This window comes from Homo sapiens, chromosome 17 (assembly GCF_000001405.40).
Source record: "Homo sapiens chromosome 17, GRCh38.p14 Primary Assembly".
NCBI lineage: Eukaryota > Metazoa > Chordata > Mammalia > Primates > Hominidae > Homo > Homo sapiens.
In genome coordinates, this window is record NC_000017.11 from 82928373 (window position 1) to 82946147 (window position 17775).

Consider the following 17775-nt stretch of genomic DNA (forward strand, 5'->3'; position numbering starts at 1 on the left):
ACTCAGTTCCCTGCACCTGAGGCTGCCATTGGGGCCTGCCCTTGCTGTGTGTCTCTGTCGGGGGCACGGGGTTGTGGGTACCCCCAGGCCCTGCCCTTTCTGTCGGTCTCTCTGTCGGGGGCACTGAGTCATGGAGGTCCAGGCCCTGCCCTTGCGGATCTCTGTCAGGGGCACTCAGTCAGGGGGTCCAGGCCCTGCCCTTGCGGGTCTCTGTCGGGGGCACTGAGTCATGGGGGTCCAGGCCCTGCCCTTGCTGTCAGTCTCTCTGTCAGGGACACTCGGCCGTGGGGATCCCAGGGCCTGATTTCCTTAGTTCTCACCTCTTTCTCTTTCCCCCTCCCCATCTCTTCCCCAGCCCCAGCTTCTCTCTCCCCATCCCCGGCCTCTCTGTCCCCATCACTCTTCTCCACCCGCTCCTGTAATCCTATTTGTTGTCCCTGCTTCAACCCTAAGACCTCATCAGCACGCATGTAACACGTAGCACATGTGTAACAAGTACGTAGCATGTATTTGCTGCGCACCTGTAGGGTTGGGCTCCTGGGATGTGAAGGTAACGGAGTGTGGTTCTTCCGAGCCAGTGTCCTGGTGTCAGCTGCCAACTCAGCCACCATGTCCCGAGGAGCCCGCATGTCCTCGTGGTGCTTGGGCTGGAGTCACGGCTCGGACCGCCTGTGCTCAGTTTACCGCCCGCTCTTAATTTACCGCCCGCCCTTGGTTTACCTCCTGCTCTCGGTTTGCAGCTGTGAGCGCATCATGTGCTGTGTGGCCCAGCAGGCCAGTGAGAAGATTGACCGTTTCCGTGCTCACGCCGCCAGCGTGTTCCTGACGCTCCTGCACTTTGACAGCCCTCCCATCCCCCACGTGCCCCACCGAGGAGAACTGGAAAAGCTGTTTCCCAGGTACTGTCGGGGTGTAGGCCCCCCGTGCTGGCCCCGCAGCCATGGCGAGATCATTGGCAGCCCGGCCTTGTCTCACTCACTCTCTTGCAGGTCCGATGTGGCCTCCGTGAACTGGAGTGCACCTTCCCAGGCCTTCCCACGCATCACCCAGCTCCTTGGGCTGCCCACCTACCGCTACCACGTCCTGCTGGGGCTAGTCGTGTCCCTGGGCGGCTTGACGGAGTCGACGGTGAGGAGGCGTCGGGCTGGCTGGGGCAGGAGGTGGCTCCAGGAGTGCCTGGTGCTTCCCTGTCTCTTGGGAGCATGTATGGAGCTGGGCCTTTTCTTCCATTGCTTTCTATCTCTCTCGGGCATATTTGGTTAGGGGGTCAGGGGCCCAGTGTCTTCCTCATGACCCAGGAGGCTTAGGGCCTGTGGGATGGTTGAGTCTGATGAAGGTGGGACAGGGCCAGCGCCACTCTCTTCCTGCGGCCGCAGCCTTGGAGCTCCCAGCGTCCCCTCGGGGTTCAATCCTCCAGGACCTGTGTCTGATGCCTGCATGTGGGTACCTGGGCTCCATCAGGTTCTAGATCGGCCTCCGCCCTCCACTTTCAGGGCTCCAGGCCCAGCTTCTCATGTCTGTGGGGAGGGTCTCCAGAGCCTTGGTCTGTGGCTGAGCTGTGGAACTTGAAGGCCTCTCTGCATCTTGTCACTCGTGGCCCCTGCACCTTGGGTCATGACCTGCTTTATGTGGCAACCCTGTGACAGCTGCTAAGTCCTAGAAAACACGTAACAGGACGTGAGGTGCCCTCTGCGCCGTGTGGGCGCGTGCGGGGAGACCCGGGCCCCAGGACGTGAGGTGCCCTCTGCGCCGTGCGGGCGCGTGCGGGGAGACCCGGGCCACATGCGAGCGGGGCCCCGAGACATTCTGCACTCGGGAATTGCGGGGATTATCAAATCCCGCTTCAGTGGGAAACGTGAGCGAAACCCAAGGTGAGTGGCCGCAGCCTTTCGTCACGTGCTCTCCCGCATGTCCTAAGTGAGGGCTCAGGCTGAGCTGCCGTTGCCGAGAGCCTTGTGTCTGCTTCGGGTGTCTGCACTGTGAGTGGCTCCGTGCTGGCGTCCGCACCAGCCGCTTGGGGCCAGACCTTCGCGTCTCTGCAGCTCGGAGCAGTTCTGCTCTTCAGCAGATGCTTGACCGGCTGTAGCCAAGCCTGAGGGGTGGCAGGCTCGGGGGTCCCACTGCCTTCTGAGGTGTCTCCGTGTTGCAGATCCGGCACTCCACCCAGAGCCTCTTTGAGTACATGAAGGGCATTCAGAGCGACCCGCAGGCCCTGGGCAGCTTCAGCGGGACCCTTCTGCAGATCTTTGAGGACAACCTTCTGAATGAGAGGTGAGTGGTGTCTCTTGGGGCCTCAGAGGCGTGAGTGGTGCTGGTGCCTCTCACCACGTTCCCACAGATTCCCGGGGTCTCGCAGGGTCTGTCTGGGGTCTGAAGGGAGAAGCGAGACACACGCTGTACCAGTTGGTGGCTCAGCGAGGAAGATGTGCCTGCAGCATATGGTTCTCCGGGCGGCCAGGCCTCAGCCCCTGCGCCTCCTCTTCTAGCCTCCACATGAGGCAGGGAAATGACCGTTGTGTGTACAATGGACGTAAAGGTAGTATGAGTACAAGGTGGTCCCTGTGTGTAGGAAGGCGTTGTGGGAGCTCCTCCAGCTTGGTGCTCCCACGGACGTGCTTGCGGACGCTCATCAGCCACCCGGCAAGTGAGAGCTCTGTGTTCCTGAGGATGGAATGTCAAGTGAGAAACATCGCTGCTTTCTAGAAGTTTCTGGCTTTACATGGAGGCAGAGTATAGACCCTGTGGGCCTTGACCTCAGAATTGGGAACATCCTCTGGAAGGGTTGTTCCCAGCATGTGCGAGGACGAGGACACGGGCCTGGTGTCCCCTCGGGCGGGGCCTCGGCAGCCTCTCCCATGAGAGCACAGATGCCGCTCTCGGCAAACAGGAACTCGGCCCAGCCATGTTTTCTTTTCTCGTTACGACTATAATCAGCTGCACATAAAGGGGCAGTTCGATCGATTTTGATAGGTGTCCACCCTTAAAATCTTCCCCAGTCAGGACGGTGGGCTCCAGCCCAAGGTTTCCTCCCAGCCCTTCGAGTCCGTGCCCCTGACCTGCGTCACCATAGCCTCAGCCCATGGTCACTTGAGGCGCTGGGCCGCGTGCCGGTCGCTCATTCCTCCGTGCCGGTCGCTCATTCCGCCTTGCCGTTCGCTCATTCCTCCTTGCTGACCAGTCGTGTCTGTTGGTGGAGGCACCACAGTGCATCTGTCTGTGGGCATTTTGGTTGTTGCCGCATCGGGGCTGTTGCTGGTAGAGCTGCAGGCAGTCTGTGTGTGCGAGCCTGTGGGTAGGTGTGCACAGCTGGGCCTCCCTCTCTGTGGGCTGCGGAGCCCAGCTCTCCTGTGTGTTAGTCGGCCTGTGCTAAAGCTCTCCTGATGCTCCTGTCGCCCAGAGGGGACCTCCCCAGCCTCCTTTTCTGTGGGGTAAATACCGAGGCGCCGCAGGCTGGCTCACACAGAGGCGAATGTCTAGCTTTGGAAAGCTGCTGGAGGGTTTCCAGAACGCCCACGTGTCATGTCTTTCTGCTGATGCTGTCTGAGGTCACTCTCACTGGCGCGTTGCTGTTTTATATTCTCTTTGGAGAAGTGTCTTCATTTTTTTCTGTTCTCCTTCCCTGACTGTTGTGGTCTGATCCTCCCTTGTCACACATGTGACTTGAGGGTGTTTTCTCCCTGCCTGTCCTTTCACGCACCGAGCGGGGGCCTCACACTTTCCTCACGTCCCAGCATCTCCCCTTGTTCTCTGAGGCACAGATTTTTCTGGTGTGTCTAAGACAGCTTGCCTAATCCGTGGTCACTGAGATTTTCTGTTTTGTCCTAGAAGATTTATAGTTTTGGGTTGTGTATTTAGACCTGGGACGCGTCTTGAGTGAGGTTTCTTACATGGTATAGCGTCGGCACAGGCACCTTGACGCCCAGCGGTGCCCACCCCAATTGCTGGGAGGGCTCCCCTCTCCGCTGCATTGCCGTTGCAGCTTTGTAAGAAACTGTGGGTTTACTTTGGACTCTCCTGTGCCCGACGTGTTTGCTTCACTTTGCACCAGGGCCGTGCTGTTTCTATCCCTTCCACTTTACCATCATTTTCGAAGTTCAGCGTCAGCCTCCAGCCTTGTTTCTTCTTTCCACAGTTGTTTTGTCTTTTCCTGAAGCTTTGCGTTTCCACGTAAATTATAAAGGGGGCTTGTCGCTTTCCACTGGGATCCTGCTGACTCTCAGCCATTCAGGGAGTTGGGCGTCCTTGTTGCTGGTGTCCAGGGTCTCACAGCTCCTTCTCCCCTCAGGGTGTCCGTGCCGCTGCTGAAGACGCTGGACCACGTGCTCACCCACGGCTGCTTCGACATCTTCACCACGGAGGAGGAGTGAGGCTCTGCTTTTCATGACTTCCTTTCCGATTAAGCCTAAGTAGCTCATGTATTAAAGAAAAAGTCATCAGACACAGAGATCAGAATTCCAGGAAATGATCTTCCAGTGCGTTCTGGGTCAGTTATGGTGACTGTAAATACCGTCATCACAGCTGGCCCTCAAAATAACGCAATAATAACATATTTACATAATGACATATTATGACTGTAAGTGCAGTCAGCCCCATCTGGGGCTGAGGCGGGGGCCCTGCTGTGCACTCTCCCCCCAGCTATCCCACCGGGCCAGGGGTGGGCCTCAGGGTTGTGCTGGGAGCCGCAGGGCCTGAAGGGGCCTCGGCTGTACGGGGATGAGACTCGCAGGGGAGAGGGCAGAGGCCGGTGACCTGGCGAGGACTTGCCCAGGAGATTGGAGCTCCTTGCTTCTGCGCCACGCGGATGCCCCAGGCTGGTCTCAGCTGGGTTGTTGGCTCTGAGTGGTCATCTCGTTGCTGCCATATTTTCTTGCTTCATTGAATTTCACCGTGTTGGGCCAGTCTTTTTTTTTTTTTTTTTTTGAGACAGGGTCTAGCTCTGTTTCCCAGGCTGGAGTGCAGTGGCACAATCACAGCTCACTGCAGCCTCTACCTCAGCCTCCCAAGTATCTGGGACTACAGGCATGCGCTGTAGTCTAATGTACGGCTAATGTTTGTATTTTTAGTAGAGACAGGATTTCACTATGTTTCCCAGGCTGGTCTTGAACTCCTGGCCCCAAGTGCCTGCCTTGGCCTCCTAAAGTGCTAGGATTACAGGTGTGAGCCACTGCGTCTGGCCTGGATATATTTGTATCTGGGGCACGTTGGGTCATCCGGAGACAGCGTGGTCTGTTTTTGGGGGCACTGCTTTTTTTTTGTTTGTTTTGAGATGGAGTCTTGCTCTGTTGCCCAGGGTGTAGTGCAGTGGCTCGATTTCAGCTCACCGCAACCCCGTCCCGGGTTCAAGCAGTTCTCTCGCAGACTTCTGAGTAGCTGAGATTACAGCTGTGCACCATCACACCTGGCTGATTGTTTGTATTGTTAGTAGATACAGGGTTTCACCACATTGGTCAGGCTGGTCTCGAACTCCTGACCTCAAGTGACCTGCCCACCTCGGCCTCCCAAAGTGCTGGGATTACAGGCGTGAGCCACTGAGCCTGGCTTGGGCGCTACTCTTAAGCTGTCAGGTGGACCCAGAGCTGTGCTGGTCTCCAGGGTTTTCTGCCCCTTTAAGGTCTCTGCTCCCTGGCGCTTCCCTTCCCACCGCTGCTGGGGCAGTGCCGGGGCTTCTGGCCATCTTTTGGGTGGTTCGTCCCCAGCCTTGGACAGCGTCCTCGTACTCAGGTACTGGCTGACCCAGGCCCAGGTTAGTCCTCAGCGGCCCCCAGGAAGCCCCCTCTGGTGCTCAGAACCTGAGCGAGCTCTGCAGACTTGGAATTTCCCGCTTCTCACCACGGGCTTCCCGCTGGAGTCTGCCACCTGCTGGACTTGGCTCTGCCTTAACCTTCGGGCGGGAGGCAGATCTGGTCTCTGTTGCTCCATCTTTGCTGGACGCTGCACATGTTTTTAAATCTAACAGCATTGAAGGGTTTCCCCTTTTAATTTCTTAATGGGGCATCACTGACTGACCTTCTTACACCTGCTGTTGGAACAGCCTCCATGTTCACAGGTGCACCCAGCTCGGTTGTGGCGTATTATCCTTTAATACAATGCTAAATACTCCATTTAAATTTTTTTTTTGAGATGGAGTTTTGCTGTTGTTGCCCAGACTGGAGTGAATTGGTGCGATCTCAGCTCACTGCAACCTCTGCCTCCTGGGTTCAAGTGATTCTCCTGCCTCAGCCTCCCTAGTAGCTGGGATTACAGGCATGTGCTACCATGCCCAGGTAATTTTGTATTTTTAGTAGAGATGGGGTTTCACCATGTTGGTCAGGCTGGTCTCGAACTCCCGACCTGAGGTGATCTGCCCACTTCTGCCTCCCAAAGTGCTGGGATTATAGGCGTGAGCCACCGTACCTGGCCTAAAATATTGACATATATTTTTCTGGCTTAAAAATTTCAAAATAAGCCTGGGCGCCATGGCTCACGCCTGTAATCCCAGCACTTTGGGAGGCCAAGGCGAGTGGATCACTTGAGCTCCGGAGTTTGAGACCAGCCTGGCCAACTTGGTGAAACCCCATCTCTACAAAAAATACAAAAACATTAGCCGGGTGTGGTGGTGCCTGTACGGCTTGGGCCTGGGAGGCGAAGGTTGCCGTGAGCTGAGATTGAGCCACTGTGCTCCAGCCTGGGCAACACAGCCAGACTCTGTTTCAAAAAAAAAATTTTTTTTCCAAGATAGGATGGTAGAGAAAATACCTCCTGCCATGTCCTGCTATGAATACAGCTTTGTATTTCTCTCTACAGTTTTGTCAGTTTTGGCTTTTCAGATTTTGAAGCGTGTTTGTGGGCTGAATCTTGCCCTTATCACCCATTTCTAGGATGCTTTTTGCTCCACTCATTCTTTGTCTTGCTTCACTTGACTTTGAACTGTATACTTTTTTCCATCGTTTTACTTTCAGTATCTTCATACATGTATGTTTTTGTACGCCTCTCTTAGAACAGTGTATGGTTTTGTAAAAATTCAGCCTGTAGCTTTTACCTGCCTCCTTCATGACCTTTATAATCCCCTTGGTTCTCAGCCTGCCACTCACAGGACTTTTCCCTGTGCTGCGTTCCCAGTGCCCCCTCCCCGCCCCCACCTGTGCTTTTTGTTGGATTAGTAGAATTGCTTTTGTCATTCCATTGTTTTCATATATTTGTTTGGGACATTTTACTTTTTTCTGTTAACGCTTACCCTAGAAATTAGAAATGACACCACGTATTCTTAGCGAAGTCCAGTTTTCAGCATTTTGTCCTTATTGGACAATAGCAAGGATATTAGAACGTGTTGGTTCCGCGTGCTTCCGTCTTGAGTTATGTGCTGCTATTGTCGGATATTTTGTCTTAGATGTACGTACTTTCCTGTTCATTGTGGTATGTGTAATTTGCGTTACTTTGAATTTTCCACGTTTTTACTTTCTTTGTCTCTCATCACTTACTGCTTTTGGGACCCCCCCCATCGGGGTTCACATTCCCTCTCCCTAGAGCACACTCCCTTGGATTTCCTCGAGTGGGGTCTGCTGCGGTGAAGCTTTCCCATTTTATGTGCAGATTATTTTCAGAGGGTATATAGAATTCAGGCAGCTGTTTCGTTGTAGCACATTAAAAATATTTTCCCACTTCCTCCTTGCTTCTGTTGTTGCTTTTGAGTGTTACCTCTGAGTCTGCCTGTGCTCCCTGGAAACGGCCCGGGTTTCCCACCCCCTGCCCAGGTTTGCTCCTTCCCTGGTTTTTCTGTCATTATCACGCTCACGTGTTTCCCTCGGTCACCCCCTCTGCAATTTTCACACGTCTTTTCCCTCTCTCTTTGCTTCATTACCTTTGGCCCGCCTGCCAGCTGCTGATTCTCTCTGAAGATGTCTCTAAATGACTTTTAACTGTGATTTGTGGAATTCTTATTGTGGAGTTTTGCGTCTTTTCAGGTGTAGGTTTTTTGTCTCGCGTGTTTCCACGTCTGCTTGTAGCGCTTTCCGCTTCGCCGTTCCCTGCGGCCCTTCCTTCCGTGCCCGGTGTTCATCCTCTTGAATGCTCTTTTCCTGCCTGTTTGGCTGGGTGTGTCTGAGTTGCAACCTGAGCGGGTTTCTTTGTCTTCTTACTTGTCTGGTATTGTGTTCTCTCGGGACGTTGCGTTTGAGGGGTCGCACCTCAGAGCAAGCCGAGGTCTGGGCTAAGCCTGTGCTTTGGCAGGCAGGACCTTAGTTTGCCTTTTCTGGGCACCTGAGGAGAGGGTAGCAGCAGCCTGGGGTCTCCTTGACTCACGGTCAGCAGTGAGGGTTTCCTGGCCTGTTGGGTGGCTGGAGCTTGGCTGCATTCCCCACTGAGAGAGGGAGGTGCGCACCTTCTCCTCCCTGGAGTGGCCTTCCAGGTGCCCTCTCAGAGCTGCTCATCAGGGCTGTGCCTTTGTCAGCACCAAGCCTCAGCCCTTGTCCCTGCTGCCACTGAAGGCTCAAAACAACACTGCACAGCCTTGTGTGTCCTCTGTGTGTCGGCAGTTTCCCCCGGCTCTGCAGCAGCCCAGGCCAGGTAGCCTCTGGAGGGAGTGGTGGAGGAGCACGGGCATCCTGGCCGCCGCTGTGTTGGGGACAGACCCTGGGGCCTGGAAAGGGAGGTGGGGCCCCGTGGGGGCTGCTGCACCACAGGCAAGAGAGCAAGAGACAGCAGAGGCCGGCCAGGTGGTGGCACAGCCGCTAGGGACCAGGCCGGCCTGTGGAGGTATTGGGATGGGGACCAGCGGACTTGCTGGCAGAGGGGCCTCAGGGCTGCAGGCTTCTTGGACTGAGCCACTGGGAGGACGGAGTTGACCTTCTTTGAGACAGAAAAAGTGTGCATCCCGGGGCTGCCTGTGAAAGCTCATCTCTAAAGTGTGTGTTGTTCTTCCAGCCACCCCTTTGCTGTGAAGTTGCTTGCGCTCTGTAAGAAAGAAATCAAGAATTCAAAAGATATCCAGAAGCTCCTGTCAGGCATCGCAGTGTGAGTTTCAAGTGCTGCTGGCCTTAGACGGAATGGCAGGGCGCAGCCTCCCTTGGCTGAGGGCAGGAGTCCACGGCTCCAGGCGGGAGAGGAGCAGTTAGTGTTACTCCTCAAGCTAACCTAAGATCGTGCATTCCAATGTTCAAAGCAGTCGCAATGGGAGGTGAGGCAGCCCAGGTGCTGGTGGAGGGAGTTCCCGCGGGAACAGGCGAGCTCTGCCTCTGCTGCCCTCGCGCTCTGCCCTGGCGGGAGGGGAGGCTCCGGAAAGGAGCTGCGTGGTCAGGGGCTGCCTCCCCGATTCTCCTGTGTGCCCTGGGGGTCGCTGTTGAGTGCCTTGCTCTGCGGCGCTCAGGTGGACACTGGGCAGGTGCGCCAGCCAGCGATAGGCACCTTGGCTGCTCTGTGGCTCCTTGAGGTGGGGGTCCTCATGGCAGGGCGAGCGGCCCTGCAGGAGATCCTCTGTGAGGCGTCCTCACTTCCCACAGTGACTTTCCAAGTGCGACACTCGTGTGTGTAGGCACAGTGCAGATGTACGCACACACACACCTCCGGCTTGGGGCCCCAGGCCCGCACTGTGCTCACGGATCTGCTCTGCCCAGGTCTCTGCATGGGCCTTTGGGTCCGGGGTTTGCTGGGGTTGGCCTGCGCGGGGTGGGGCTCACCTGGAGCCATGTGCTGCTCCCGGCAGGTTCTGCGAGATGGTGCAGTTCCCCGGCGACGTGAGGAGGCAGGCCCTCCTGCAGCTGTGTCTGCTCCTCTGCCACCGTTTCCCGCTGGTGAGTGCCTGCCCCTGCTCACGTGTGTTTGCCGTGTGGACACAAGCCCCTCAGTGACAAGAAGGCCTTCGCTGGCACTGTTGTGTTGGTGTGCTTTCCAGCCGAGCCCCTCTCGTTAACGCGCCTGGGTGACGACGCGTCACAGGCACGCGGCTGCCAAGGGGCTCTGGACGCCACTGTTCTGGCTTTAAGGACGGGCTGTCCGGCTGGCGTTTCTATGGACATACATTGAGGGGTGACCTGGCGGTGGGATCTGGCTCAGGAGCTTCCAGAAGGACCCAGGCTGAAGTGGTTCAGCCACACCTAGGGGCAGTGCCCTTCATCCCCAGCACTCCCCGGCTATTAGATTTCTAGGATTTCTTTTCTCCTGGCTGCAAAAAAAACCTCAGATGATACAAAGGTGACATTTTCCTAAAAGGCAAAAGTAACTTCATGTTGTATGGTGGTTCTCGAAGTGGGGTGCCGGACCCTCAGGCTTGGCACCTCTGGGGCTTCAGCAGTGCAGCTCTTGGGCCCTGTGCTGCCGACTCAGCACCTCCAGGGTGGGCCCGGGGCTCAGACCACCAGCGCAGTGAGACATGATGACCAGGGCACCACTCAAAAAGAGAGCAGGCGAGATTGCTTCCCTGATGAAAAGAGAGCAGGCGAGATTGCTTCCCTGATGAAAAGAGAGCAGGCGAGATTGCTTCCCTGGTGAAAAGAGAGCAGGTGAGATTGCTTCTCTGGTGAGGGAGCAGGTTGGTTAATAGATAGCGGGCGAGATTGCTTCTCTGGTGAGGTAGCAGGTTGGTTAATAGAGAGCAGGTGAGAGTGCTTCTCTGATGAAAAGAGAGCAGGCGAGATTGCTTCTCTGGTGAGGGAGCAGGTTGGTTAATAGCAGGCGAGATTGCTTCTCTGGTGAGGGAGCAGGTTAGTTAATAGAGAGCAGGCGAGATTGCTTCTCTGGTGAGGGAGCAGGTTGGTTAATAAAGCATTTAAACAAGAATGATGTCATCTTCACTGCTGGGATCCTGCAGCTAGCTGTGTGTCTGTGGAGGGAGGAGGTGGTTAATGGGCCTGGAAGGCACCTCCTCTTGGTTGCAGCCCTGCTGTGGCTGGGATGGGATGCAGGGTCAGCGTCCTCCTCCTGACGCCTTCCACTGACGGGGCTCCCTGGCCTGGGTCCTGTCGTCTCTCCGGGGTGGGGCGGTGGCGCTTCCCTCCGGCAAATGCACTGCATCCCTGTCCCAGATCCGGAAGACCACGGCCAGCCAGGTGTACGAGACATTGCTCACCTACAGTGACGTCGTGGGCGCGGATGTGCTGGACGAGGTGGTGACTGTGCTCAGTGACACTGCGTGGTGAGTGAAGGCCCTTCCTGCACGGCCACCTGGGCCTGGCACCGCCCCTCTTCCTGTCCCCACCGTGTCTACTCGTCTCTCCCAAAACCCTCTGATAGGAGGAGGAAAGAGGGTTCCCAGGTCTCCACATCCTCTGCTTAGGTTTTACAAGGCAGCCGTGCTGCTGTAGCCGAAACCTCTTCTCAACCGCCCTGTCCCCAAACAGTGTCAGGTGTCAGGAACACAGCAAAGCCATCCATCCCACCAGGGGAGCGGGCACCTGTACCACAAGGCTGTGTCTGGTGGCCTGTGGAGCAGAGGGCACTGAAGGCCTGGCAGGTGCTGCTGCCCCAGACCTCTCTAAAGTTCTCTTGGAATAGGCCGTGTGAGCACCTGTTGGAAATCAAGAGGCACAGGCGGAAATAAGAAAAGCTCTCCCCACGCCTCTGCTCTGATGTCCACCCCCTTCCTCAGGGCCATGAGGCCCTCAGGAGGCCATAGTGCCACTCTCCACGTTTACTTTGGCAGGCACAGTTTCTGCAACATGGGCTGGCTTCTTTACCATGGGTGGAGTAGAATGGCGGTTTTGAAAGATGTGTGTATTGAGTTGGGGGTGGGAGGGTCTGAATGAGAGCAGAGTGGGGAAAGTGCAGGCTCAGGTGTCCTGGGCCAACCGGTATGTTCCTGGGAACAGCAGTGATGGTGTCTTACACATATGGGCATGGGCACCCATGCTGGCTCACACACATGCTCACTTGCACGCGCGCACACACACACACACACACACACACTTCTAAAAGGGGAGCAGTCTCGTCACCCCGTGTTGGAGATCAGGACTGAAGCAACCAGAGGCTGTGTGGGTGTCCACATGGCATACCCGGGGTGGTGGAGTCCCAGGTGTCCTGCCTGTGGATGCTGCTCTGTTTTGAGTGCCGACTGTGAGGGCCTCCGTGCTGATCCCGGTGCGTTGCTACAGGTCTGTGGGGTCCACGCCCCTTGTTGAATCCAGCAAGGACGTAGGTGACGTTCCCTAGGTGTCTCCTCGGAACAGTGACCTTCCAACAGGGCTGGGTTCCCATAGAGCTCACGCACCAGGCAGCCGCTGTGGCCTCGGAGGACAGAGGTGGCCTCTCCAGGGCTTCCGCGAGGTTTTCTGGTTTGGGGAGGAGTGTGTGTCTGCTCCTAAACAAACACGTGGTCCCAGGAGAGGAACCGGGAGCAGCTGGGCTGTCTTCTCAACATGCGTTGAGAGAATGGCCATCTTAACTACTGCTCTGGAGACCCGTTTTTACAATGATTTTTTTAAAAAAAAACACCAAGGTGCATTCTGGACCAGATTCTAAAATAATTGGCTTTAGGACTGAAGAAGCCAGGTGTCCCGAGCGGGGCGAGGCCTCCTCCAGCGAGGCTGGGTCGGGGTGGCCTCCTTTCCTCACATCAGGGAGGGAGGAACTAGCAGGGTGGGCCTGGGGGCTTCTCCTATCGTTTAATCCCCTTTCTGTTAAAAAAAAAAATCCTTAGAATTTAAAGAGAATATTTTAAATTAGAAACGAAAAACATGCCCCAGATATCTCCACAGCATTGCTAGAATTTTTATTTCGCATCAACAGCTAAATTAAAACCTGGAAAACCCTTGTCAGCCCCTCCTTGGCCTCGCTTGGTCTGTCCTCCCGCAGTCCCTGCGCTGGGCGTGGTCCTTCCCGAGGGGCACCCCTTGTTGGGAAGGAACCGTCCTCCTGCGATTCCGGAAAGGGCTCAGGCTCGAGGCTCTGCTGGAGAACGTGCTCCTGTGACGTCTTTTCTGCCCTCAGCCTGGCTATGGATGTCGGGGGTGAGGTCTCCTTTCCCTGACTGCGGCCATGGAAGCTTGACGCGGGACCTCCGCACACCTGAGGTTCTCCGGTGGGCACTCGAGAGACTCACGGCTCTCCCTCTCCTCACAGGGACGCGGAGCTTGCAGTGGTGAGAGAGCAGCGCAACCGTCTGTGTGACCTTCTGGGCGTACCCAGGCCCCAGCTGGTGCCCCAGGTAACCCTGTCACCTTCACAGCATGAGGTGCCTGTGCTTCCCTGAGCTCTGGAATGTTCTGGGGCCAGCGGCTGTGCTTAGCTTCTGCCAGCACGTCCACACGGCCCGTTCCCTCGTCTCATGTCAGGACCCCTGGGATTACGGGACCAGCAGAGCTGCCTTCTCTGGCCACTGCCCACACCTGTGGGCCCCTGTGGCATCCAGGCCACTTGCTCTGGGGCGTTTGGGGGGCCGGGGAGTGGGTGGAGCTGGCACCAGCTTGATCCAGGCTCCTCATGCCTGGCCCTGGGGTCTGTTTGTGCTCCAAGTGCCAAGAGTGCCACCCTACCCCTCCTCATCTGCTTCCCATGAGTGGGGCCGGGGCTGGGTGAGAGGCCCCCAGAAGCTGCCCCTGTGCACCTCACCAGCCCGTCACTCTTCTAAAGTAACAAAAACAAGTACCTCAGTTCTCTCGGGGGCTGGGGCCCAGGGTTGCTGTGCTGTCTCTCTAGTTACCAGGGTTGGCTCCTTCCTCTCAGCCTCCTTCCGGCAGGAGGTTATATCTGAGAGGGAGGAGGAGAACCATGTCTAGATACATGGGGGCAGTGGGGATGGGCTGAGCATCAGGACACAGCCTCCCCCATTTCTGTGTGTGTAAAGGCTGAACTCAACAGCAGACTTTGGAATTAAATGTGCTTTTTACATTTTTATTAGGAAAAATTTCAAACGTGTGAATGCAGGTTAAGAGCAGTGCAGTGAACCTCCCTTCCCGCTCCCCAGATGGGGTGCCCTTCCGAGGACACGTTAGTCATGAGCACCTGTCAGCCACATAGCTCAGGCTGCCGGGTGTGTGGGAAACGGCACAAATGGTTTCCTGCAGGAACCGTGTCAGTCCCCACACAGGGCCCAGAGGGGTGAGGGTCCCCTGGCTGGGAATGGTGTGTGTTGGAGCTGACCAGCCTGAGCTTGTCTTGTCTCTTCTTCAGCCTGGTGCCTGCTGAAGCCAGTCCTGGAGCCCATACCTCACCCCTGCCTGGTGAGGATGTCTTGTTCCTGAGGGAGGCCGGTGTGGAAAGCCTCGCACAGTGGTGCCTCCAGCTGTTGAAGGGTAGCGCTGGCCCTTGGAGGCTGGCACTAGCTGACAGCTTTTCCTCTCTGCACCTGCGCTCTGGTGACTTGGGGTGGACGCCTCTGCCTTCACTTGAACACAAATGTGCTTCCTATAAAATCATGTACCAAGAAGTTCCTGCCTTTTGTCTCTGAGCCTGATGTGTGTAGGGGTGATGGAAAGGCTCACTGCCCAGGGGTCAGCCAGAGGGGAGGTGGGCTGCACTCCTCCTGCCTGGAGACCAGGCCCCCTTCTTGCCTGGTGCTGTCCCTGCTGTGGGAGACGTCTGGCCACAGGCAGTGCCCCACCCAGTCTTGGAGAGAGATGAATGTTAAATCAGAGGTTCAAATGCTAGAGAACTGAGAAGCCCTGGTGGCAGGCATGGTCTGGAGTGCTGGGCAGATGCTGTTTCTGGGCCCGTCTGCCTGGTGGGGGTGCTGTCCTCCCCCCTGTGCACACGTGAGCATCGTGCATGTGGCCCCTCTGCAGTGCAGGAGTCACTGATTGATGGGTGTGCCGACCAGCAGCTTCACAAATGTCTGCTGCAAGGGGAATCGTCAGAGTCCAATGTGTGCCTCTACAGTAATGTCGGAAATAAATACCATTCTTGAAATAATTACACTGTCTTAGGAGAGCCTGGGCAGAGTCCACACTTGGGTTTTTAGGCAAAGGGCAGGAGGCTACCTTTGTCTCTGTGTCTGAGCTCGTGCTGATCCATCCCAAAGCTGGTGAGGGGAACGTGTATAAAAATTTCACTGTGGTAGCAACCCACACCCATCTCTGGGACCTGTGCTGTGCTCATAGGGCTTGAGGTGCAGAACCACGGCCAGCAGCACCAAAGCAGCCCCAGGTGTGGCCACTCAGAGGCCCAAGGGCTTGGGTGAGCAACCCTTTCCCTATGTGAGGAGCCCAGGGGTGCCATGTGCGTGGTGTAGATTAGGGTGGCTCCCTGGCCTGCTCTCAGGTGGGGATGGGGCCTGGACACAGGAACATGGGCAGGCCGAGAACTGGGAGGTGCCACCGCATCTGTGAGGCTTGTGAGGTCACCAGGACCACAAGACCAGGACTGTGACAGTCCGTGCTGTGTGTTTAGCAGACAGCTCTTCACGGGATGTGTGTGACGACCTGGCCACACAGGAGTGTGGGGTTAACACACTACTGTTGTTGTGTTTGACCTGGTGGCCAATGGTCTTTATACCCTAAAAGAGCCTTGGGTTACATTTTTACGAGATTTAAATATTTTATTCCAACCTGTGTAATAGGGGTCTCCTCCTCCTTGAACTGTCCCGATTGGCTGGGGTCACGTGGTGAGGGTCCTGGGTGACCAGGCCTAGCCTTGGCCACATGAGTCCACACAGTGGAAAAGGCTTGGCTCCTGTGGTCGGCACACACGAGACTCTGGTTGCGCCTGCTGGGTGTGGAACAGGCGCACCATCGCCATGCCTGCAGCTCACAAAGCTCCTGCTGGCCTGGGATGCACTGAGGATGGAAGGAACAAGTGGCTTCTGAGAAAAACATGATGAACTGTTCTTAGTGCAATTAAAAGAAGATTCCAGATAAATGGCATTTTAAGACATGGAGGCAGGTCGATTACCCACCCAGACCCATCAGTGACACTATGTGGCAAAGCAGTTCTTCTTTTAATGTCGGTCTAACTTAGCAACCCGAGGAAAGTGGATCACTCCACTGGCCACTGCCTCTTTCCCACTGGATCCCATCCATCACTGGGGCACTTGTGCTCACCAGACACCTGGTGGCCTGGAAAGCCCTCTTTCAGCAGCCGTTTCTGGAGCCCACCAGGGTCCAGGTGATAGAGTTTGGCAAGGAACCCCTTGCTCACATGATAGCTGGGGCAGACAATAGCAAATGAACAAGCAAGCACCATCAAGGCAGGCAACACTGAGTGCTATGAACAAAGATAAAGTGGGCAATGGAATGGCATGTTGGGTGTTGACTCCGAGAAGGTGTTCAGAAAACCTCTCTGAAGGGGCAGCATTTGGGCAGAGGTCCAGACTGTGTCCAATGGCAGAAAAGAGAATGCTTGTGGTCCCAGAAGTGGAGCAAGCTTTGTGAGTTTAGAGAGCAGCAAGAAGCCAGTATCCCTGGGACCGGGGAGCTGATGTGGGATTTGTGTACCCACAAACACGTTCTAGGTGCTAACCAGAAACCCTCCATGTGAGAGCAGAGACCTTGGAGATCCTGAGGGTTTCTGCTGAGCCCTGGAATCTAGTCACGCTATTTTGATAGCAGAATGGATGAGAGAATTTAAGGCCCAGGGCCAGATCTAATGGACCACTATATAAAGCTGGGACCCTAAATAAGTCTTTTTCAAAGGAACAGCAGCAAGACTCTTATCTCAATCTATCTCCCCTGAAGTGGCCTGAATTAATACTACCTGTATGATCCCCAAAACTCCTAAAGTGGAAAATTTGATTGACTTGGCCCTGACCAGTGGTATTCCCAGACAAGGGCAGAAGATGCAAATACAAAACCTCTCTGGTAGAATGTAGGCTATAATATGAGTACATTTTTGAAAAGGGCTAGAAATGATCAAGAAGAGATTAGAAAAAAACAGAGCCCCTAGAAATGTAAGAAGTGAAATGAAAAGCTCAATGGATAGCTTAGACACAGCTGAAGAGAGAATTAGAAAACTGGAAGATCTGAAAACATTATCCAGAGAACTGGAAGATATGACAGCAACATCAAGAGACATTGAAGAATGTCTAACCTTTGGGTAATTGGGGTCTCAGAATGAAATGAAATGATGCAGATATTCCATACTGACATGCAACAGTCCCCAGATACAGAAGCCTAACAGTCTCACATTTAGACCTGCCACAGTGAAACTGCAGAACTGTAAGAAGGACAGAGTGATATAAACGACTACCAATTTCCCAGCAGCAGCACTGGAGTTGAGCAGTGAGTAGACCAAGGTCTTCATTATGCTGAGAGAAAATAGCTGTCAAGTTGCTTGAATTGTGCCCACAGCATAACATTAAAGAAGAGAACAAAATTAAGTCATTTAGATAAAAATATGCCATTCTTATCTGTTTGGTTTTTTAATCTTGGCTTAATATTTGGGGTTGAGTCATTTGTTTTGAGAGCTGTCCTGTTTATTGCAGGGTGTTCAGCAACATCCCAGATGGAAGCAGCATCCCCCTACCCAGCTGTGACAAAAAGAAAAAAAAATGTCTCCAGACACTGCCAAATATCTTCTGGGGGTGCCCCTGGTTGAGAACCACTGCTTTAGTGGATAAACTTTAGGCAGGAGGGAAATGATCGCAGTTGGATAGTTGGAGGAATGTGGAGCAAGGGAAGCAATAAACTGTGACCATAAAAACATAGAAAGATGGCTTATATGTGGATTTTTTTTTAAAGCACGTAGAATTGCTTAAAATGGACAACAGCAGCATATAAATCAGTGGCAGAGTTGGTGGCTGAATTTAGAGCATCTTAAGTCTATGTTCTCCTGGAACAGAGTGCAGATAATTCAGTTATCAGCTTGGCTAGGTGCATGTTGAAGTATTTAGTCACACACAAACAGTTAATGTATGGGGAAGATAACTTCTATACTAGT

General features: G+C 54.8%; 3 protein-coding genes across 49 annotated transcripts in view; 2 read left to right on the forward strand and 1 right to left on the reverse strand.

The window, feature by feature from the left end:
- The window catches only part of TBCD (tubulin folding cofactor D), a 193850-nt gene extending 176308 nt beyond the window's left edge, over positions 1–17542 (forward strand). For 32 of the 33 annotated variants that reach the window (NM_005993.5, NM_001411102.1, NM_001437989.1 and 29 more), the window contains 9 exons: positions 741–899; positions 990–1128; positions 2150–2271; positions 4286–4363; positions 8899–8988; positions 9677–9764; positions 10995–11104; positions 13027–13111; positions 14077–17542. In NM_005993.5, the coding sequence (NP_005984.3) occupies positions 741–899; positions 990–1128; positions 2150–2271; positions 4286–4363; positions 8899–8988; positions 9677–9764; positions 10995–11104; positions 13027–13111; positions 14077–14091 (886 nt within the window). In that variant the 3' untranslated portion in view covers positions 14092–17542. Of the gene's footprint in view, positions 1–740; positions 900–989; positions 1129–2149; positions 2272–4285; positions 4364–8898; positions 8989–9676; positions 9765–10994; positions 11105–13026; positions 13112–14076 lie in introns of those variants that run through there. The other variant, XM_047436617.1, reaches the window with a different exon arrangement.
- On the forward strand, positions 13118–13705 carry LOC124904095 (uncharacterized). Its single transcript, XM_047437261.1, has one exon. The coding sequence runs from the start codon at positions 13134–13136 to the stop codon at positions 13680–13682; it is 549 nt and encodes a 182-aa protein (XP_047293217.1). The 5' UTR covers positions 13118–13133; the 3' UTR covers positions 13683–13705.
- QTGAL (queuosine-tRNA galactosyltransferase) overlaps positions 13777–17775 on the reverse strand; it is a 109622-nt gene continuing 105623 nt past the window's right edge. For 6 of the 15 annotated variants that reach the window (XM_047435396.1, XM_047435395.1, NM_001009905.3 and 3 more), the window contains one exon: positions 13777–15677. The gene's annotated coding sequence lies outside the window, so the exon portion shown is untranslated. The remainder of the gene's footprint in view (positions 15678–17775) is intronic. The other 9 variants (XR_007065267.1, XR_002957964.2, XR_007065266.1 and 6 more) reach the window with 4 other exon arrangements.

Bases quoted from the DNA above. Each gene is read 5' to 3' on its own strand.
- LOC124904095 (XM_047437261.1), top strand. From the start codon at position 13,134: ATGAGGTGCCTGTGCTTCCCTGAGCTCTGGAATGTTCTGGGGCCAGCG.